Raw genomic sequence first — 22,696 nt, forward strand, 5'->3', positions numbered from 1 at the left:
TACAGATATATGCGTCTCTTAATTCAGCATCTAAAATGGGTACTTTATTTCCTTCAGGCTATATTTTCATGAGCAATGATTTTAGACATTGTTTTAGGCCAGGTTTACAAACCTTGGCCAGAGGAGAGAGAAGGGGAGAAACCAATTTTGGCTGGCAAAGCTAAATCAGCCATCCCAGGAAACCCAGGCTCCCTGAGAGCAGGCATTGTACCTTACTTACACTTCTCCTATGTACCCCATCATTCCTGTCCCTGATTTCCTCCTGTCCCCCTATCTGCCCCCACACACATTTTGTTTGTCATGTCCCACCCATTCTCATTGGAAATGTAACATGAAAAGCCTGGTGGAAGGCACAATTCCCTGTTCTGATGCTTGACAAGCAGGCGTGACTGCAGCTTCCCCGGCTAAATTCTACCCTCTGCTTGAAGCGTTGGAACGCAGGTGTTCATTCTCTGAACATTCTAATGAAATGAGTCACCATGAATCACCTGAATCACCATGACAACTCATTATGGCTTTTCTCTGGGGGGGGATGGGGGAGCTTAGTTCATGTCCTAAGAGAAAATTCACCTTCTTAAGTCAACAAAATGATGTTTTAAAAGCCTGAAGGAGCAAATCGTCAGTAGCACATCTAGAACCACACCACCCCGATGCCACCAGGGTGGCCTGGTGGCCTCAAGCATGATGTCAGGTGGAGCTCTCTGCACTTTGCTGGCAGCAGATCTTCGCGGAGAGAAGCACGGGGAGGGTGACATGTGGTACAGAGCAGGAACGATGGCTCTGTGCGATAGCAGCAGACAAAGGTTGCCATGGCAAGCCTGCTCAGGAGGTAGGAGGGGATGCTGGTAAGGTCTGACGCTTCTGGCTGCTGATGCCGTGAGCAGAAATGTCCTTTCATCTTCAGTTTTTTTCGAAGCAAAAAATTGTCTTTTCTTCCACAAGAACTTTAAAACCCAATTAAGAGACCATTTTCCCAGACCACATTTGTCCAGCCTCACAACAACAGTTTGCCATTTGACTCAGACACGCATCACTGCGCTGACGCCCACAGCTGTGATTACAGCTCTGAGGGGATCAATAATGCAGGCTGGCTCACAGGCTGTCACCAGGCTCCTGTGCTCTTTGGGGCCTCACCAATTACAGACAATCAGCCTTGTCTGCTGAGAAGGGTGAGCTTCCGGTGGCAAACACAGATCCCATTTCTTCCTTTCATCCAGAAAAAAACTGAGTGGATTGGGCTCACAGGAAGATTGTGTTAAAGCGGGGGCTGAGAGATGCCAGGAATATTCCTACCCAAATGCTAAAGACTTGTATGGTCTCTCAAAAATGAGGTTGTCTTTAATGAAACGAAAATGCAGCCCATAGTAGCATGCACATCTCTGGACACCAACCCAAGCCTATGGTCAGGGATGAGCTGGTGTAACAGTCATAACTCTGGTTGTCTTTCCTACTAGCCTTGGCTTTAATTCACTTTTGCTGCTATGCATGTTCTACTAACTTTCTGGGACTCAATATCCTCATCCATGAAAAAGATTGTCCATAATCCAATCAATCTTCATAAATACTTTGAGGATGAAGACAATAACACAAAGCACAAGACATAGGCTAAAACATAGCCAAGCTCATAATTGCTATTCAATGAAAAGTAGCTCTTATTATAATAGACACAGCTTATATTATGAGGGATTGATAAGATTTTTTTGAGGAGTATATAATTAGAGGAATCATCTGCTGAAAAAATTGAATATGAAATTGTTTTTGTTATAAGATGCAATGACCTAGAAATGCTTCAATTTTTGTTTTGTTCCATTTGGATTTAGTGGGGAGCATGAATGTTAAACATGAATACAGCCAGGAGAGTCCTAGGAGGAAGGTGATCATCTTGGAAGATTGTTGCACTTCATCCTAAAGGGTGTCCTCCAAAATTTTTTTTATAAGAATGGAAAATTTGATGCAACACAAATATCTTAGGTATTATTTATATATTTATATAGATTGTGATGCATCATAGAAAATCATGGAGTAATACTTTTTTCAAACAATATTTAAATAGTGGGAAATGCTCACAATAAAATGATAAGGAAAGCACCATGCAGAAAATCCATATGCGTAGTATCATTTCAATTTTGTCTGTATACATATATTCACATGTAGATACTGAAATAACACAGGGAATATGACAAGAAAGCTCCTGTGTCTTTTCATTTTTACCATGAATGTCCAGTATCTAGGTGGAAAGGGGACTTTTTTTTTTTTTTTTGAGACAGGGTCTCACTCTGTCACCCCGACTGGAGTGCAGTGGCATGATCTCAGCTCACCTCAACATCCACCTCCTGGGTTCAAATGATTCTCCTGCCTCAACCTCCTGAGTAGCTGGGATTACAGGCACATGCCACCATGTCCAGCTAAGTTTTGTATTTTTAGTAGAGATGGGATTTCACCATGTTGGCCAGGCTGGTCTTAAACTCCTACCTCAAATGATCCACCCGCCTTGGCCTCCCAAAGTGTTGGGATTACAGGCGTGAGCCACCACACCAGGTCCATAATCACATAATCATGTGGAGAAAACCATGAAAAGCTTCCTAAAATATAGAAGATAACAAAAAAGGGAAATATCGAAAGGAAGAGAGAAATCATGGAAGAGGTACCCAATCTGTGGAAAATTGAAGTCCCTGAAAAAGAGTGACGTGGCCCACAATAACTAACATACAGTAGAAGAAAAATCTCCACACTGCACAGAGCTGAGTCTTGAATCAGCAGGGCTCACCAAATGCTAGGGAGGGTCAAAATGAGGGGAACAGTCTGGGTGCAGTGGCTCACTGCTGGATCTGTCCTGCAGACCCTGGCCGATGGAGGAAATGAGTGCTCAGACACAGGTATGCAGTGTAAGAGCAGCTAAGTGACTGCCTGGCTCTAGTGGCCAGAGAGCAGCCCTGAGAAGCTGGAGCAGCTTGCTTTTATTGAGTGCAAGCACAATGCTGAAAACCTGGAGCAAACACAACCTGTAGATAATTAACATTTATTGTTCCCCTTTCAGGGAATGTCACGTGCAAGGATGTTCCGAGGTCAGTTCCTGGACAACTTCTAACAAACAAGCTTGACCAAGATAAATTCCCCTACACTCCCTTGTACCTACTCCTTATCCTCTGCCTCAGGGTTATAGAACAGCTGCCTTCAGCTATTCTGCCATGGAGCTTTGCAGAGCCTTCTGACCTTTCAGAAGGCCTGCTCCTTTTCCCTATAGTTTCTCCCACCACTCTGACCGATCTCCTACAGCTCACACCTGTAATCCTAGCACTTTGGGAGGCCGAGGTGGGTGGATCACCTGAGGTCAGGAGTTTGAGACCAGCCTGGGCAAAATGGCAAAACCCTGTCTCTACTACAAATACAAAAATTATCCAGGCATGGTGATGGGTGCCTTGTAATCCCAGCTTCTTGGGAAGCTGAGGCAGGAGAATGGCTTGAACCGGGAGGCAGTGGTTGCAGTGAGCTGAGATCGTGCCACTGCACTCCAGCCTGGGCGACAAGAATGAGACTTCGTCTAAAAACAAGACAAAATAAAAAAAAAAAATGAGAGGAACAAATGGAAAAGAAATGGAAAAGTAGACCTTGTCCCGTGTATAAAACTAAAAGAAAAAGTAAGTCGGCCACCAACATCGAGGCCTCTTGTAAAGGGTTAGACCATGCATGCCCTTGCCTGGAATCAAAACCACGCCCTCTGCAGGCACGCAGCTGTCCCACTGGGTCGCTGAGTGCTGCTGCCCTCTGTCCCCTGGAGAATCAGGACTGATGTTCCAGAGGCCAGAAAGCCATCTGGCCCTCACCAAGGCAAAGTGCAGCTGACAGAGCACTGGCTGCGGACAGTGTGCAGTAGCTCCCTCCCCTCGCTGGAAGGGCACCTGTGACAGCCTATCCTTGCTGTGATCTTGGCCAAGGAGGCTTCTCCAGCTGCATACTCACTGACCAGAAGAAAATTGTGCTGGGACTGAAGCATGATTCATTTGCTGAATCATTGCTGAGTCATTGTTGCTGCTACGTAGAATGGTATGGTTCACAGCAACGTATTGAAGCTTTGCTTACAACATAGCTGACGTTTTCTTTTCTTTCTTTTTTTTTTTTCTTGATGGAGTTTCCCTCTCGTCAACCAGGCTGGAGTGCAATGGCAAGGTCTTGGCTCACGGCAACCTCTGCCTCCCAGGTTCAAGCAATTCTCCTCCCAAGTAGCTGGGATTATAGGTGCCCGCCACCACACCTGGATAATTTTTGTATTTTTAGTAGAGACAGGGTTTCACCATGTTGGCCAGGCTGGTCTCAGACTCCTGACCTCAGGTGATCTGCCTGCCTTGGCCTCACAAAGTGCTGGGATTACAGGCGTGAGCCACTATGCCTGACATTTCATTTTCCTCAGCTCCCCATTTAATATCACTTATGTCTGATGGAAAAAGAGATAACCAAAGAATGCGAAGGAGGAGCACGTGGAGGGATGACTCTGAGCCTGGCCACAGGGCCTGTGGGTCATGGAGAAGGCAGTCATCAGTCCCGGCATGTGGCCTATTCAGGAATCTGGGTGTCATCCGGATGAATTAGCGTTCACATTTTTTGGCCCAGAGTCTAGGAATAGGCATTACAAGCAAGTTCCCTCCATGACTCTGAAGCACACTGGATGTGGTAGGCACATTAATGCACCCTCATTCCCAGAGATTTCAGGTCTTGGTCCCCAGAATCTGTGACTGTTTCCCTTCCAGGGAAAAGGTGACTTTGCTGATGTGATTAAGTTAAGAAACTTGACTTGAGAGATTATCTCAGATTGCCTGGATGGACCCAATCCAATCATATGTGTCCTTAAAAGTGGAGACCCACTTTCCGATCTTATATGTGGTCACAAGGAGATGCGACCAGGAAAGTGTGAAAGGAAAATAAATCTTGGGACCCCCAAATCACTAAGCCAAAGGGAAAAGTCAAGCTGGGAACTGCTTAGGCCAAACCTGCCTCCCATTCTATTCCTAAAAGAGATAGCTACTAAGATAAAAAGCTACATGCCTCCCTCATAAGGAATTTCCTTTTGGATGAAGGACAGACAGAACTCAAAGTCACCCCTCTGCCCACTGAGATAGCTGCACATCTGATGGCCTCCTTTGGAAAGGCTAATCAGAAACTCAAAAGAATGCAACCAATTGTCTCTTATCTACCTATGACCTGAAAGCCCCCTCCCTGCTTTGAATTGTCCCACCTTTCCAGACCAAACCAATGTACATCTTACATCTCATGTCCCCCTAAAATGTATACAACCAAGCTGTGCCCAACCACCTTGGGCACATGTAGTCAGGATCTCTTGAGGCTGTATCACAGGCACGCATCCTTAACTTTGGCAAAATAAACTAAGTTGACTGAGACCCATCTCAGATATTTGGGGTTTACAAAAGAAAGGTCAGAAAGATGGGACACAGCTGGCTTTGAAAATGGAAATGGGGCTGTGAGCCAAGGAATTTTGGAAGCCTCTAGAAGTCAGAAGAGGCAAGGAAGCAGATTCACCCCTGGAGCCTCCAAGGTGTCAACTTTGGTTTTAGCCCAGTAAGACCCAGGTCAGACTTCTGATGTACAGAACTGTAAGATAATCAGTTTGTCTTATTTTGAGCCACAAAATTTGTCACAACATCAATAGAAACAAATACATAAAATTATCAGTCTTGTTGCTCATTCTCAGGACTGGAAGTGGAGAGACTTGCTTGCTAGTTTCGCGTGGCCACACTGGCCATGTGCTCTGCACAAAGGTGTTCTCCAGTGTGTGCCTCACTGTCCTCATCCACTGAATGGGCCTTCACCAATTCTCAGAGCCTTGTGAAAGACAATATCTGAAAAGGAAGCCCCTTTTTCCCAAAGTTAACAATGCTTTCCTAATGAGACTATCATCTACTTGACATGAGAAAAATGATTAAGGGAGAGTACTGGGTTCAATATAGTTCATATTCCATGCTAGGAAGTTGTTTTTTTTTTTTTTTTTTAATGCATCAAGTCCAAGTCATCCCAGTGCCATTTGTCCTGCAACCCCAGTGGAATAGAAATTCCATCATGATTGTCTTTTGTCTATCTTGTTCCCTGGTGTAAGCTCTGACACACAGTCACTCTCAATAGATACATGTTACATGAAGAAAATGAATTCAGTTGCTGCATAGAAGCAGCAGCATCTTTAAGTAAATGATTGGTTCAAAGACAAATAGTATTTATAGCCTCTGAAGCCTGGTCACATCTGCCACCTGTGCTGTCCTCCGAGGAATATCACGGGCTCTGAGCCACACAGAGTCTGTAGCTGGAAGCCATGGGGCAAGCTACCTAATGTTCTGGACCCTAGTTTCCTCTCCTGTAAAAAGGGCTATTAAAATGTTTCTTCACTTGTAAAAAGGGGTACTAAAATGCACAGTGTTGTTGTGAGAATTAAATGAGTTAATGCCTGGAAAATGCTTAGGCACAGTGGCCGGCGATGGGGAACCCCACACAAACGATAGTTGCTGTAGTTGTTACTTCCACGCACCTGCTGTGAGATAGCGGCTGTGCTACCTACCATAGCTAGGGGCCTGGGGAACTGAGTGCCCTGCCCTGGGGAAGCGAGTGAAAGACAGCACTGGGATCCTAATCCAGATCCTGCCAATCCCAAAGCCAGCATTTTCCCAAGAGCTCGGTTTTGTTTATTCTCCAGGAGAAATTTGAGGAACTAACAAGAAGCATGAGTGCCTCTTTCCCCACCTGCGGCTACAGTCCTGTGCAGAGCCCATGCATCCCAAAAGTGGCCCTCACAGCTCCCACCTTACCTGGATCACTCCTCCCCCTTCTCCAGCTTTCTCATTCAAAAATGCCTTTGGTAGTTCCAGCATCTTCCCGAGCCAGTCCATCATCACAGTCTCCAGCTCTGTGCATGCTGGGCTTGCCGCCTGTCGTGGGGGAAGGGAAGGGATTAACCGAGGGCCAGGCATTGCAGAATTTGGGGGTCAGCAGTAACAAGGGGATTTAACCTTCCACTAAAGCCCAGATTAAAATCACCCAATCTCAGATGTGATTCAAAGGCCTGAAGGCTGTTTGACCTAGAATCATGCAAGGAGAGCGGTTGGGAAGGAACATACGGGCCACCATAATGAACCTTACTCCACTGAGCCTCACTGCATGGGCTCTGCGGGCTTGCTAGGATATTCATTTGTTCACTCACAGAAGGGTCCAGAAAGCCCACTGGTGGACTTTCCTCCGTAGTCACAAATGAAGGGAATGAGAAAGTGGGCGCTGGGCAGCTGTCACCCTCTGGGCATCCCGAGAAGCCATTGATCTTGTCTTTTAAACTCCCAGTGACTTTTCTCTATGAACTCTCCCCTCTCTCTGAACAGGCTGGTCTTGAGCCCCATCCAAAGGTGGATTGAGTCTCCACCTTCATAAAAGTCTCCAACATAAGGGGTCCAAGATGTTCTCGTGCCTAGATGTGCACAGCAACATCCCGATGCGTCACCAGTAAGATCTAAGTGAGAAGAGTGCATTCTCCCTTCTGGTCAGCCCCATCCTGCTGGGTTCTACCTGAGCCTGGCCAAGCCCAGCTCTACCAGGAGCCTATGCTCTCTGCTAGGGATGAGGTATCAGGCAACGCAGCCTGAGAGATAGTGAGGCACTCCCTTCAAGGCCTGAGGGCAATCAGACTGTCCCAGAATGAGCAGATAGAGATGGATGCCAAGTACCTCTGTGGGACAGAATGGATTTGGACCAGCAGAGCTAAATGAAATCTGCTGCAATATCCAGTGATAGAAAATGCTCTTTAGGAGAGGGTATGCTCAGCCCAGGCCAGCCCTGCCCAGCAGAGAGGGAGGCCCCAGTGCCTGGCAGAGGAGCAGCACAGACACTGAAGAGCCCATCTGTGGGCTCTTCAGCCCTGCCTGTAGGGCCCATGATGCCTGCTCACCCGGCAACTTCCAGTGCCCCAGCCCAGAGAAGAGCAAGTGCCAGGCTGGTGAAGCAGAGGTGGCTCAGCTGGGCCCTGTGGCTCAGTGCTGCAAATTCCTAATTGACAGCTCCTTTACACATCACAGCATGCCACATAGACCGATGCCCACAAGTCCACCTGGCTCCAAGCCACAGACAAGGTGAGTGCTCTGGACCCCAAAGGCCAAGGACAGCCCCTGGCTTTTGAGGAACTCCCCAGGGTGCAGCAGCCCTCGGACACTGGCCATCAGCAGGCAGCTCTACCTCCAAGCTCTCTGCATTTGGGAGGAATGCATCTTTCCTGTAATCTGTGCCTGGAGCACAGAGTCACGGGCAGAGCCAGCCCTGCCTACCGTTCTTCTGAGTAGGGACTTTTTTAGGCATTTTACCTCCAGATAGGGTGGGACTGGTGGTTTGCAGGCAGGAGCTAGGCCCTTTTCCAGAGACCCCCCTGCTCCAAGGCTCTGGACACATCTGATAGGCTGGTTGGAGCCTCTCCCCAGGCAGCAGCCCTGGTGGAGAACAGAAGGAATGAGACAGGGGCAGTCGCGGTTCTCAAGCTTTGGAGGATATAGAAATTCTCTGAGCTGCTTGGAGAAATGCAGATTCCCAGGTTCGAGCTGCAGAAACTCTGGGCCCCAGACCATGATGTTAGTTCATACCAAGTGCTTCCAACACAGCCTGTGCAGAATGGGCTTTGAGTTGTTGAGACTTTCTCTGTTCTCAATCGCTACTTTCTCAGAGGCACTCTCTCTGGGCTGAATCCTTTCTCCTCCCTGCAACAGTAGCCCGTCTGCCCACAGACAGCACCGCCATCTGCTCAGGTCCCTTGTGCATAGGTACCGTGTCCCCACCCCGGGATCCCACCACAGCCAGGACCCCTTCCCGAGGTGCATCCGGACCCTCACCCAGGAGAAGCCGATGCAGCCAATGGCCCCGCACAGCATGTCCGCAAGCATGGCCGGGTACGAGCTGGCAGTGGGGAAGTAGGCGAAGAAGTAGGGGCTGTGCCAGTGCGTCACCTGCATGGGAGGACAGAGCAGCTGCTGAGGAGTGAGGAAAGCCAGGCCTCAAGAGAGCGGGGGACCCAGGTACCCCCATGGCTCCCAGCTGCCAGATGCAGCCAGACCCAGAGTTAGGTGAGTGCAGTTCCCCAAATGTCAGCCATCCCATTACCTTCCTCCATTATTTCGGAGCATTTACACATCACCTTACTGTCCCCACTCCCTTTAAACCAGCTCCCTTTTTGACACTGGAATGTATTTGCTAGCTCAGAAGGAAAAGTTCTATCTCCAAAATAAAGTGGAAAATCCTTATCATTTTCCATAACAAAAGAAGTCTCAAAAAACCACACTGTGCTTCAAGTTCTTGCTCCGGTGCTCTCGTCAGTGAAGGCGCTGCCCCAAGGCTGATCTCTTTGTGCCAAAAGCTTAGTTTTCCTAAAACTACTCTAAAAAATAAAGTCTCCATTAAAAACAAACAAACAAACAAAAAAAAAAACCAAGCTCTGGATTTTCGAGGTTTCTTCAGTCAAGCCACAAACATGCATCTGGTCTTCCCGCTGCCCCTGGCTCTTCTAGAGGAGCTGAGGCCTTCCCTCCAGCCAAGCAGCTGGATCACCCCACAGATGTCTCACCTCTGCTGTCCCTCAGCCTGGCCACTGCCCCTTGCCATTTGCCCTGGCTAGGGGCATCCCACCTTTCTCCAGCCCATAAGGTGAACACCTGCCACTCCCTGGGTGAGGCACAGAGGAAAAGCTCATGTGGGCCAGGGAGGAGATCCATAAGGGGTAGTGACAGCTCCAGGTGGTATACTTGGGGACAGGGGGTTTCAGGATCCAGGAGGCAAGGGTTGTGGTGGACACCCAGGCAGGGAACATTTAGCAATGGTAACAAGGGGCCAGCCTCAAACATCTTGGAGTCTGGGAGGACGATCAGGGGAGGACAGAGAAGGAGCAGGTGTAGCCTAGTCTTTGGGTCTTTAATTTGTTCCTGCCAATGCAGTACCTGCCCTGAAGGAACAGAATAAAGTCCTAAAGCCCTCAGGACAACCCTCAGCCCCTGTGCATGGAGAAGGTATAGAAATTGCCATTCAGACCCCTCTCAGGCTGTGACCACGCACTGGTTTCTGAGAGACATTGCCCTGTTCCGCATTGTCCCCTGCTGGTGCTCCATGTCCATCCTGCCTGTGGGAATAGCATGGTGTTGGGAGCACCCCTGGACTGCAAGTCCAGCAGGAACCCTGATTTGCTGGGTTACCCCAGACAACTGACTGCACCTCCCTGGGCCCTGTCATCCCTTCAGATAAAATGAAAGCACGTGCTCTGATGCTTCCTCCAGGTCTGGCTCAGAATCCCAGCAGCAGAGGATATGCTCTATCGGGCTTGGCTGCTCTGCTCTGAATGTGAGTATCTGCACACCATTCGCGTCGAAATCCTAACCCCCAAAGTGATGGCATTAAGGGACAGCGTCTTTGGGAGGTGATTAGGGCATGAGGGTGGGGTCCCCTTAATAAGATTAGTGCCCCCCAACAGTGGGATTAGTGCCCTCATAAGAAAAGGCAGAGAGCTGGCTACCTCTTGGTTACGTGAGTACACACTGGGAAGACGGCTGTCTGTAAACCAGGAAGAGAGCCCTCACCTGAACCTAATATCTTGATCTCAGACTTCCTGTCTCTAGAACTGTGAGAAATCAATGTTGTTTAAGCCCCCAGTCTACGTCCTTTGATATAGCAGTCCAAGCTAAGATATCTGTAAGATATCTCTTACAATCTGAGAAGAGATGCAAACATTTATTTCTCAATAGCACTCATCGTTAAATATATGTTGTCTAAGATGTAGCATGAGCAACCCCCTCTGATTGTGAAGGCAGCCAACTGAGAGAGCTCACCAAGAACTAGGAGTGTTCAGTAAGGTTTATTTAACAACCACGGCCACCCCAAGTCTGCCAGGGCTTGGGGAGTGGTGGAGAGAGGGAGCTAACACAGTCTAGGCTTGGGGGCTCAGGTGTGGGAGGTTGGTGATGAGGCTGAGAGGCCGAGAGGAGCTGCACAGGCTGTGATGCCTTCAGCACAGCAGGTCCAGGCCCACGACACTGTTAGGGGCTGAAAAAATGCTTAAATTTCTTCTGTAATCAGGAGGAAAAAACAGTGAACTTTCAGGTTAAAGAAAAAAAATCGATGTTAATATATTCATCTTTATGCCAATGCATTTGTAAAGCATAATTTTCCATATTTCTAGGGAGGAAGGAGCCGACAAAGACAAAGCGCCCGGGGCCCAGGAGAGTTTAAGAGCAGCCCTGTGGCTGACTAGCCCCTCCGCACCTGGAGGGCCCATGTGCCTTTGTCTCTCTCCCCTTCCTGTGGCCTTTGGGCTGGAAAAGGACAGAAGCGATTCTTGATTAGGGACAGATGTGTGCTCTTTTGCTTCACTCTCCGCTGATATTCACAGCAACTTTTGAGATGGCTGGGCCTGCACTTGCTCCGCTCACGGCTCGAGAGCTCACCTGGTTTCCTGCGATCACACAGCCAGCAGTTCGTGGGCTGCAGCTCCCACCCAGGGACCTTGCCCAACGCCTGTGCATTTCCCAGCTCAGCTCTGCGCAGTGAATGCCCCCATAGAAGGAAGCAGAAAGACTTCAAATCCTCCCTTACTCTCCTGTACTCCCCACTGCCTGACATTTAGCCACACCTCTCCCAAAGGGTTTTATGCTGAACAGCTTAGTGTACTTGCACAATTTCTAGAAGAACCTGAATCCTGTTCTTTGCTCAAAGCATAAATGCCAAGTGAGAATCCCCTGGAAGAAGAAATGTGAGCAGTGTGGTGAGAGAGGCGCTCAGCTACTGAGAAACCAGTCCCTGAGGTCCAGGGCCTGAGGCCTAGTCTCAACCCATGATCAGTGGACTGTAACCTTGTCTGACCTTATGCCTTCACAGGGCCTTGGCATTCTGTCTACATTGAGGGAGTGGGTCTTGATGGTCCCAGACCCCTCTTCTATGAAAATCACATGTCGTTGCTCATAGGCCTTACAACCACAGACATGCTGGGTCGCGGCAGTGATCAACCAGTGGAGCCCACGGAGATTTTCCCTGCCTGGACTCTGCACATTGTTGCATGGAAGGGCAGGTTTGGCCATCCTCATAAACATTCGTGATCTAGAAACTGGCCGGGCTGCAACTCCCACCCAGACCCTGACTAGGCCAGAGCCACTTTAACCAACAGGCTTTTAGGTGAACTCCTTGGCAGAGAAAATCTACTGTGGAAGCGTAAAGCTGAAGGGAAGTTTCTCTGAGCTCCAACTCTGCTGCCCTGTGAGTGAGTATCGGAGACAGCAGCCAGTCCCGCTGATTTCTGCCCTCTGTGTACCCCAGGCCTACTGGCTTCAGAGAAAAAGGGCTGCCTTGGTGGGCAGCACCACACTGCCCACTCTCAAATAAACTAAAGAAAACGTTTCTTCCACATATGCTAATTACCTATTGCTAAACCCAAGGATGGTGGAAGTGTGCTTTATTTGGGGCAATTGACTTATTTGAAAGCAGCCACCAGTGTCTTGCTTCCTAATGTATATGAGGACACGCTCTATGTACCGAGTGTCTCTGGGCAGGGACTGAGTCTCAGGGGACCTGGGGGAAAGAGCCTCACTGCCCTTGGATTTGGATTTTAATCCTGACTTCATCGTGTACTACCTGTGTGACCTGAGGTGGACCACCTAACCTCTCTGAGCCTCAGTTTCCTCAGTTGTAAAATAGAAATGACAAAATTTCTCTCCAACCTGACTGCCATAGGGATTCCTTGAAACAAAGTATGTGAATTGCTCAGAGCCAAGTAGGTGCTATGTGAGTTCTAGCCCTCCTGTTTTCTGACCTTGGATACACACTTACCCCAGGCATGATTATCTTCTCAACGTCGTTGATGATGTCCTCAAACGTGTCTGGCTCCTGAGGGGCAGCGGCAGGGATCAGCGGCCGCAGGTACCCGGGCTCCACGTCAGGGTAGACCTGGCGTCCCTCAATGCCTTCCATGTAGTTGGCCATGTAATCCACCATCTCCTTCCCTCTCCTTCGGAATTCACTTGCGTTCATGGTGTCTGGGCTCTGTCAGAGGTGAAAACTGCAGAAAGAAAATGATTCAGTGAGCAAATTTTGCAACCTCTGAACTGGAAGGCGGGGATACCAAGCAAGCCGTGGGTAGGGACACCTGGGCAGTGACTGCATGCCCTGGAGGCCACTTGGATCCCAAGTAAGGGGCGCTTTCCCTCCATGTCTGTAGGAGGTAGAAATGGCACTGGATTTGGGACTGAGGCAAAAGCTGCTTCTCCTCTTCACCAGCTATTCAACTGGGAACAACACAACGTCGCTTTATTTCAATAGACTAGAAGCACACGTTTATTTTCATGATCGATTCCAACTTTAATGACAAACACTGGTCCAAGTCCTGCCTCTGCCCTTACCTGCCTTTGAAAGAGACAAGCTTGCCCCTTAGAGCCCCTCTCCTCATCTGAGAAATGAAGACTGTGATGCTGACCTCTCAGGAGGGCATGAAGGCACAGTCACACAATGCACACGAGCCTCAGCTCAGAGCCTGGGGCAGCACACCCCCTCAAACTTAGTCTTCTTCTCTCCTCTTGATTCTGTCACAGATGGAACTGCACCTTTACGCACCATCTGCTTTTTAAAACTAATGCTCTCCTCCCTCCTTGCATAAGTAATATACAGGCAATTCTCATTATTGCTGGTAGCTGTGTTCTATCTACAACAGTTGCCATGGCCATAAACTCTGAATTAGTGAATACTGAACCATTTCTTCTAGGGGAAATACAATTTCCTGAAGCGTGATCCCAACATTTTTGTCAACAAATCAGTACATAAACTTTTCATGTGTTTTTAAGAGACACTTTATTTAATATATATTGATTCATTAACATTGGACTCACAGCCAACAGCACTGTAACTCCTGTCTGGGGAAGCTTCTCTAACACATATATTTTCTCCATAAGGCACGTCTTGTGCATAGGATGGCTAGACAGCACTTCTGCACCACATTTGGGGGTCATTTTAAACAGCAAAATCACCAAGAAGAAAAACATAAAAATGTGAAGGATGTGGCACTGAATAGACAGAGAGAAGGACATGTTTACATTATGAGAGCTGACGCAAGAAGGTAGTGTGTCCCTTTGTTCAGCCTCAGCTGGGAACATACGCATCGGACAAGCACATTCTCCACTACGCTACACATATGTACGTCCCTGAGTGGTCTCAAAAGCACCATGAGTATTGATATTTATTGACATTGGGGGTTACAAATGAATTTTAGCAAGTAGGAGAATTTGCATAGGTGGAATATGTGAATAAGAATCAATTGTATTTTCAAAACAGGACAGTGAACAACACAAAGAAAAAGATAAGCCTAAAATCCCACAACCCAAAATTCTGGCACATGTCTTTCTAGAATTTTTATTTTACTTTATTTTATGTGTTTATTTTTTTGAAACGGAGTTTTGCTCTTGTCGCCCAGGCTGAAGTGCAATGGCACGATCTCGGCTCACTGCAACCTCTGCCTCCCGGGTTCAAGTGATTCTCCTGCCTCAGTCTCCTGAGTAGCTGGGATTATAAGCACCCACCACTATGCCCAGCTAATTTTTGTATTTTTAGTAGAGGCGGGGTTTCACCACATTGGCCAGGCTGGTCTCAAACTCCTGACCTCTGGTGATCCACCAGCCTCGGCCTCTCAAAGTGCTGGGATTACAGGCATGAGCCACCGCTCCCAGCCTCTAGAATATTTTCTATTTATGAGAGACAATTGCATGCTAGGGATGGACTCACAGCCAACAGCACTGTAACTCCTGTCTGGGGAAGCTTCTCTAACACATGTATTTTCTCCATAAGGCACGTCTTGTGCATAGGATGGCACAAGGAAAATGCATAGGGATGCATTTTCAAATCTTTTTCATACTCCAAAGTTTTGTAGATGAGGAAATGGAAGCTCAGAGAGGCAATGTGACATGCCCAAGATCACATGACCAGTAATTGCAGAAATAGGATTCAAATTTATAGCTGGCTCCAGGACAAATTTAAGATAAATTTTCCCATGGGAGTTAAGTGCTTAGGAATACTCTAAATTCACTGTTATTAGCAATGGTGATGACCTTACTATCAGCTTCCAGCACTTCTCTATTTTCCCATTGTCCATGCTGGGATTTTTAACAATTTTTGTGAGGTTAAAGGTGGTAAAGAAAAATTGTTCACCAGGCACTTGTTAAAAGTGACAAGACAGATTTTACTCAAGACCACTGCAATAGGGATAGAATGTTGCAAAAGGGGAGGGGCTGAACTCAATTCCAAAAACAACAGGGGCACATAGGGACTTACAGCCAACGGTCAGGTGAGAGGGTCCCTGGGTGGAAAATTACTAAGAGGAACTTGGGTAAGTATCAAGGGTGGAGGGGAAAAAGGAACTCTGGATGAGATACCAAAAGTGGAAGCACATGAGCCTGATTGGACATCAAAGTTGTGCTCAGAAGGCCAAGGAGGAGACTTGGCTAAGCTCTTCCCCCTTGGGCCAGAGGAGCTTGGCTGATGTTTGGTCAAGGTACTTTGACAAAGGTAAACCTGCTAGAATGTGCTTTTCCTTCCATTGGCATTCTCTCTAATATTTTTACTTCCATGTTCTCTGTTAAATGAACAGTTACAGAAGTTTTTATGTCATTTCAAGGCTTATTAGATCCAGCCCCCATGTTAAAGCTATTGTTTGAGGATGCATTTCTCAGCTAGTGAGTGCTTGAGTGGCAGTGATTGAGACGTAAGATTAGACTCTAGATTATAGCAACAGCAAATGCCAAACTAACAAGCATGAGAACAACCACAATGACTGTCTGAAGTTCTGTTGCACCTTTGTGCTTCTTAAGCCAACGACCAAGGAGTGTCCTGTTCACCAGCAAAACATCAAGGCCATGTGCTAAAGCAGCCAGCTTACAATTCCTTGGGGCCTGCAGGCTTTGAAATTAGTTTTTAGTTTGAAGTGACTGTTTTTTTTTAATTTTGCACATACAGTGAAACTTGGTTTTCACCTCAAGTGGAAGTATTTCAAATTAATATGACTCAAATTTTTAACTCAAATGGTATCACACTGCAGATCTTTTTGCTAGCCTGTTTTTCTTTACTAATTTCTAAGTACATTTCTCATGTTGATAAATACTTTTCTTTTTCTTTTTTTTTTGTTTTTTTTTGAGACGGAGTCTTGCTCTGTCACCCAGGCTAGAGTGCAGTGGTGCGATCTTGGCTCACGGCAACCTCTGCCTCCCAGGTTCAAGTGATTCTCCTGCCTCAGCCTCCCGAGTAGCTGGGACTACAGGGCATGGTGGCAGACACCTGGCTAATTTTTTTTTTGTATTTTTAGTAGAGACAGGATTTCGCCATGTTGGTCAGGCTGGTCTTGAACTCCTGATCTCAAGTGTTCTGTCTGCCTTGGCCTTCCAAAGTGCTGGGATTGCAGGCATGAGCCACCGCACCTGCCCGATAAATACTTTTCTATTGTGTGATTTCTCACAAGTATTTCACAATGTGAATGTGCCATATTCACAACATGTACCTCTATTGTTGAGCATTTATATTATTTCCAATTTTCACCCACACAGTGGGAAGCATTGGTGTATCCCAGTGGCCAACACTCCGAGACCGAGAGCCAAAGAAAGGACTGCGAGTCACACCCTGATTCTATGTATTAGCTATCATAATCGCATGTATTAGCTATTATAACAGCATGTATTAGCTGTACAACCCAGCGTAAATTGCTGCCATGCTAAACCTCATTTTCTTTAACTGGCAACAAAAATCGTGACAATAATAGTATAGGTACACCCCGTTTTATTGCATTTTTTACAAATAGAAGGTTTGTGACAACCCTGAATCCAGCAAGTCTATAGGCACAATGTTTCCAAAAGCATGTGCTCACTCAATGACTCTGTGTTACATTTCAGAAACTTTTGTAATATTTCAAACCATTTCATTATTATTAATCTGTTATAGTGATCTATGGTCGGCAATCTTTGATGTTACTATTGTAATTGTTTTGGGACAGCATGGACCACACCCACATGATGGTCAACTTAATAAATTTGTGTCTGACTGAACCACTGACCCATTATTCGCCTGTCTTTCTTCCTTTCCTTGGGCCTCCCTGTTCTCTAAGATGTGACAAAATTGAAATTAGGTCAGTTAGTAACACTGCAATGGCCTCTAAGTATTCAAGTGACAGGAAGAGTAGGTAGTATGTCTCTCACTTTAAATCAAAAGCTAGAAATGATTCAGCTGAGTGAGGAAGGCATGTCAAAAGTTGAGCCAGGTCAAAAGTGAAGCCAAACAGTTATCCAGGCTATGAAAGCAATGGAAAAGTTATTGAAGGAAATTAGAAGTATAACTCCAGTGAGCACATGAATGCTAAGCAAAATAGCCTTATTTCTGATATGGAGAGTATTTTAATGGTCTGAATTGAAGATCAAACCAGCCACAACATTTCCTTAAGCCAAAGCGTAATCCAGAGTAAGGTCTTAACTGTCTTCAATTCTATGAAGACTGAAAGAGGTGAGAAAGTTGCAGAAAAAATGCCTGAAGTTAGCAGAGTTTTGTTCATGAGGTTTATGGAAAGAAGCTGTCTCCATTACATAGAAGTGCAAGGTGAAACAGCAAGAGCCAGTGGAGAAGCTGCAGCAAGTTATCCAGAAGATCCAGCAAAGATAATCCATGAAGGTGGCTACGGTAAACCATAGATTTTCAATATAGACATCATAGCCTTCTATTGGAACAAGAAGCCCTCTAGGGCTTTCATAGCCAGAGAGGAGAAGTCAATGCCCGGCTTCAAAACTTCAAAGTACAGGCTGACTCTCAAAGGGGGTAACACAGCTGGTGACTTTAAGTTGCAGCCTATGCTTACTTATTATTCTGAAAATCCTAGGGCCCTTAAAAACTATGCCAAATCTACTCTTCCTGTGCTTTATAAATGGAACAACAAAGCCTGGATGACAGCACATCTGTTTACAGTATGGTTTACTGAATATTTGAAGACTATTGTTGAGAGAGACTTCTCAGAAGGAAAGATTCCTTTCAAAAATATTACTGCTCATTGACAATGCACCTGGTCACTCAAGAGCAAGATGTACAAGGAAATTAATGTTTTCATTCCTGCTAACTCGACATCCATTCTACAGTCCATTGATCAAAGAGTAATTTAGACTTTCAAGTCTTATTAAGAAATGCATTTCATAAGGCTGCATCTGCCATAGATAGTCATTCCTCTGATGAACTTCAGCAAAGTAAATTAAAAACCTTTTGGAAAGAATTTACTATTCTAGATGCCATTAAGAACATTTGTGGGCCGGGCGCAGTGGCTCACTCCTGTAATCCCAGCACTTTGGGAGGCCAAGGCGGGTGGATCACGAGGTCAGGAGATCGAGACCATCCTGGCTAACACGGTGAAACCCCATCTGTACTAAAAATACAAAAAAAATTAGCCAGGTGTGGTGGCGGGCTCCTGTAGTCCCAGCTACTCGGGAGGCTGAGGCAACAGAATGGCATGAACCTGGGAGGCGGAGCTTGCAGCAGTAAGCCAAGATCACACCACTGCACTCCAGCCTGGGCGACAGAGCAAGACTCTGTCTCAAAAAAAAAAAAAAAAGAACATTTGTGATTCATGGAAAGAGGTCACAATATCAACATTAACAGGAGGTGGAAGAAGTTGATTCCAATCCTCACAGACGACTTCAAGTTTCAAAATTTCAGTGGAAGAAGTCACTGCAGATATGGTGGAAATAGAGAACTAGAATTTTAAATGGAGCCTGAAGATATGACTGAATTGCTGCAATCTCATGATAAAATTGGACAGATTAGTTGCTTCTCATGGATGAGCAAAGACATCTTGAGATAGAGTCTATTCTTGTTGAAGAGGCTGTGAGTATTGTTGAAACAACAGCAAAGGATTTAGAATATTACATAAACTGAGTTGCTAAAGCAGCAGCAAGATTTAAGAGAACTGACTCCAATTCTGAAAGAAGTTCTACTGGGGGTAAAATGCTATCAAACAGCATCACATGCTACAGAGGCATCCTTCATGAAAGGAAGAGTTGATCGATGCAGCAAACTTCATTGTTACTTTGTTTTAAGGAATTGCCACAGCTACCATAACTTTCAGGTACTACCACCCTGACCAGTCAGCAGCCATCGACATGGAGGCAAGACCCTGCACCAGCAAAAAGATTATGTTTGCTGAAGGATCAGATGATCGTTAGCATTTTTAGCAATACATTATTTTTAAATTAAGGTATATACTTTTTATATATAATGTTATTGCACACTTAATAGACTACAGTATAGTGTAAACAGAACTTTTGTATGCACTGGAGAGAAAAAATTCATGCGACTCCCTTTATGGTGGTCACCTGGAACTGAATTTGCAATATTTCTGAGGTGTGAACACCGAAAATTTGAGACAGGTCTCAGTTAATTTAGAAAGTTTATTTTGCCAAGGTTGAGGACACACCCGTGACACAGCCTCAGGAAGTCCTTATGACATGTGGCCAAGCTTGGTTTTATACATTTTAGGGAGACAGGAGACATCAATCAATTTGAAAGAAGTACATTAGTTCCATCCAGAAAGGTGAGACAGTGCAAAGCAAGGCCCTCCCGCTGTGGGCTCCCAGGTCACGGTAGGTGAGATACAGTTAGTTGCATTCTTTTGAGTTTCTGATAAGTCTTTCTAAAGAAGGCAATCAAAATATGCATCTATCTCTGTGAGCAAAGGGATGACTTGAATAGAATGGGAGACAGATTTTCCCTGAGTGGTTCCCAGCTTGAAAGGGCCTAAGATATTTTCCTTTCACAAGAGGTATGCCCGTAATACCTTGAAGAACTTTGTGTAACAACTAAATAAATAAATGGTAACAAATTAGCACTCAATAAATGTCAGCTATTAGCTTTTCCAAATAATCCTAAAATGTGCAACCTCTTGTTTACGTTTCTGCACACTTTCTTTTGCATTAAAAATTTATAAAAAGGAGAACACTTATTTTATAATTTATTTAGAACAAATTCTTCTAGAGATAAATATTTTTAGTGTCTTGAAAATATATTGCCAAATTTTCCCCTAAAACATGTATAAGAATGCTCATTTTACCATACAATCACTGGGCTTGAATATCCATTTTAAGTTTAACCAGCCTTAATGATTCCGTTGTACTTTTTTTTTTTTTTTTTTTGAGACGGGGCCTCACTCTGTCGCCTAGGCTGGAGTGCAGTGGTGTGATCTGGGCTCACTGCAACCTCTGCCTCCCAGGTTCAAGCAATTCTCCCGCCTTGACCTCCTGAGTAGGTGGGATTACAGGCGCATGCCACCATGCCCGGCTATTTTTTTTGTATTTTTAGTAGAAACAGGGTTTCACCATGTTGGCCAGGCTGGTCTCTAACTCCTGACCTCAAGTGATCCACCCGCCTCAGCCTCCCAAAATGCTAGGATTACAGGCGTGAGCCACCGCGCCCGGCCCCATTGTACTTTGACTAATGAAACTGAATAGCTTTTTCGTGTGTTTCTTTGCCATTTGGATTACTTTTTTACTGAATTTCTTGCTCACTGCATTCTTTTCCACTAGGGTGTTAGATATTTCCTATTTAATTGTGAGAGTTCTAATATACTAATAATTCTACTCTTACGTCTGTTAAATGTTTTGCAGGCATTTTCCTCATTTTTGTTGGACCCAATTTGCTTATAATTCTATTCTGACCTATGAGAATGTCAATTTTTATGTAGTGAAATCTCATAATCTTTTCTTCAGGACTTGTACCTGATGTGTGACTATTAGCAATGCCTTTTGAAGCAAATATTCTAGCTATATCTATTTGCCCTCCTGGGGGGCCACACATGTGAGGCAGCAAGCTGAAGACTCAGAAGGGGTAGCTGGGAAAGATTCAGAAAGACGCTCAGCTTCTGGGGATATCAGCTTTAAGTCACAGCACCAGGCCAAAGCATGTGGCTCTGGAATAAAAAAACACAACAAGCAGACACATACCACATACACCAAAAGAAATATTCCTAGTCAAAGTGTAAAGTAAGACCTGGTTCTTATATTTTAAATTATTCTCTGTTATTTATTCACAGATTATTTCCCACAAAGACCTTTTTAGAAGGCTCTTAGCATGAAGCCACAGAGAATCTTGTGCTCATTTGTAGCTGTTTGATATTTTATGCCCCCAAGCTGTGTAAATATTAGCTGGAAGACTTAGCCTATGATAAAGGCTGTGGCTTATGCCTCTCCAGGCCCTTGAAATAGCTTCTGTTGACATAAACTGCCCAGTGTTCCAGCAGCTGCACACGACACTATTCTCCACACTATTCTCTACCCCACACTATTCTCCATGCTGCGCTATTCTCCATGCAGCCCCTGTGGTGCATTGCCTGTGCACGGTGAGCTGGCTGCCTCCCTGGACTTCTGGCTCAATGTCTTTTTGCATCAGCAACAGTCAGAGCTCATCTCCAGCCCCACACGCTTCAAGAAGAGATGGACTCCCCTGAACTCCCTCAGACCTCCTGATTGACCTGTGGGGTTATTTTGTTGTAATGCAACATTTCAATAACACCCTTTGCTAATGGTGGGCTTCTCCAAGCAGGGTCCTCAACTTATTTATTTTTGCATTTGCAGGACCAGTCAGGGGCCCTGGACAACAGAGAGCACTGTAGGTATTTGCTGAATGATGAATGAATGAATGATATTTGGTCCTCTAGACATTTTGTTTCTGTAATATACCCTATTGGACTCTACTCTCTACCTTTGAGACAATTCAAATCACCAGCCCCTCACATATTTGCCACAAGGAAGAGTCACAGGAGACACTATGGCTCAGGAGCCACAGCCCCTCCCACCATTGAGTCTTGACCACTTCCACCTGTGCCATCTCCTGTCTCAGTCCCTGCCCAACATCTAGCCCTCCATGTTCAGCACTTGACTAAGTGTCCTGCAGTCTGGGCACTGCAATTTCACTCTTAGGACTTCTCTGCCACAGCCACTGAAGAGAATGCAGCCCAGGCCCCTAGCACCATGGGCAAGCCCATCCACGCCACTGTGCATGTGAGGTAGTGGATTCCTCACAAGCCCGGAGTGGGGATGGCAACCATGCACTGTGGATCTGTCCATGGTACTGCCTGTTCATGCACGCAAGACATGATTTTGCTGCAAACACCGGGATACTGGAGACTTTGTTCAGCCTCTCTTGACTTTCCTTTTCCATCCTGATGAAAAAAATAGGGTTGACATTTTTTACACTATTCCAGTAAAAAGGAGCCATAGTTTATGTCTCAGAAAACACGTAAGCTTTTGGGCCTGAGGCTCTGGCTCACTATCCCCCTCAAGCATATACTTATAAATCCAGGCACAACACTAATTTGGCTGATTTCCCCCTGGATTAGCTGCTTTCTTTTTTTCTTTTCTTTTCTTTCTTTTCTTTTTTTTTTTTTTTTTTTTGAGATGGAGTCTTGCTCTGTCGCCCAGGCTGGAATGCAGTGGAACGATCTTGGCTCACTGCAACCTCCGCCTCCCAGGTTCAAGCGATTCTCCTGCCTCAGCCTCCTGAGTAGGTGGGACTACAGGTGTGCGTCACCACACCTGGCTAATTTTTGTATTTTTAGTAGAGATGGGGTTTTACCTTATTGGTCAGGATGGTCTTGAACTCCTGACCTCATGATCTGCCTGCCTTGGCCTCCCAAAGT

General features: G+C 45.9%; 1 protein-coding gene and 1 long non-coding RNA gene across 11 annotated transcripts in view, besides 2 other annotated features; one reads left to right on the forward strand and one right to left on the reverse strand.

The window, feature by feature from the left end:
* The window catches only part of DDC (dopa decarboxylase), a 106,964-nt gene that overhangs the window by 72,612 nt on the left and 11,656 nt on the right, over positions 1-22,696 (reverse strand). For 6 of the 10 annotated variants that reach the window (NM_001082971.2, NM_001242889.2, NM_001242887.2 and 3 more), the window contains exons 2-4: positions 12,832-13,060; positions 8,862-8,975; positions 6,807-6,926 (exon numbers count right to left, since the gene is read on the reverse strand). In NM_001082971.2, the coding sequence (NP_001076440.2) occupies positions 6,807-6,926; positions 8,862-8,975; positions 12,832-13,032 (435 nt within the window). In that variant the 5' untranslated portion in view covers positions 13,033-13,060. Of the gene's footprint in view, positions 1-6,806; positions 6,927-8,342; positions 8,466-8,861; positions 8,976-12,831; positions 13,061-22,696 lie in introns of all 10 variants that reach the window. The other 4 variants (XM_005271745.5, NM_001242886.2, XM_047419932.1 and 1 more) reach the window with 3 other exon arrangements.
* Positions 156-1,355: an enhancer, noted in NCBI's record as "P300/CBP strongly-dependent group 1 enhancer chr7:50598907-50600106 (GRCh37/hg19 assembly coordinates)". NCBI's record gives its function as "activates an origin of replication core promoter dependent on BRD2, BRD4, P300/CBP, MED14 and CDK7 cofactors, with strong dependence on P300/CBP, by STARR-seq in HCT116 cells {active_cell/tissue: HCT116}" and the evidence as "EXISTENCE:reporter gene assay evidence [ECO:0000049][PMID:35650434]".
* DDC-AS1 (DDC antisense RNA 1) lies at positions 706-12,410 on the forward strand. The gene is made up of 5 exons (NR_033845.1): positions 706-829; positions 8,061-8,114; positions 8,778-9,092; positions 10,293-10,356; positions 11,192-12,410. It is a non-coding gene; the product is annotated as a DDC antisense RNA 1 (long non-coding RNA).
* Positions 3,719-4,918: an enhancer, noted in NCBI's record as "BRD4-independent group 4 enhancer chr7:50602470-50603669 (GRCh37/hg19 assembly coordinates)". NCBI's record gives its function as "activates an origin of replication core promoter dependent on BRD2, P300/CBP, MED14 and CDK7 cofactors, and independent of BRD4, by STARR-seq in HCT116 cells {active_cell/tissue: HCT116}" and the evidence as "EXISTENCE:reporter gene assay evidence [ECO:0000049][PMID:35650434]".

Source organism: Homo sapiens, chromosome 7 (assembly GCF_000001405.40).
Source record: "Homo sapiens chromosome 7, GRCh38.p14 Primary Assembly".
NCBI classification, from domain to species: Eukaryota; Metazoa; Chordata; class Mammalia; order Primates; family Hominidae; genus Homo; species Homo sapiens.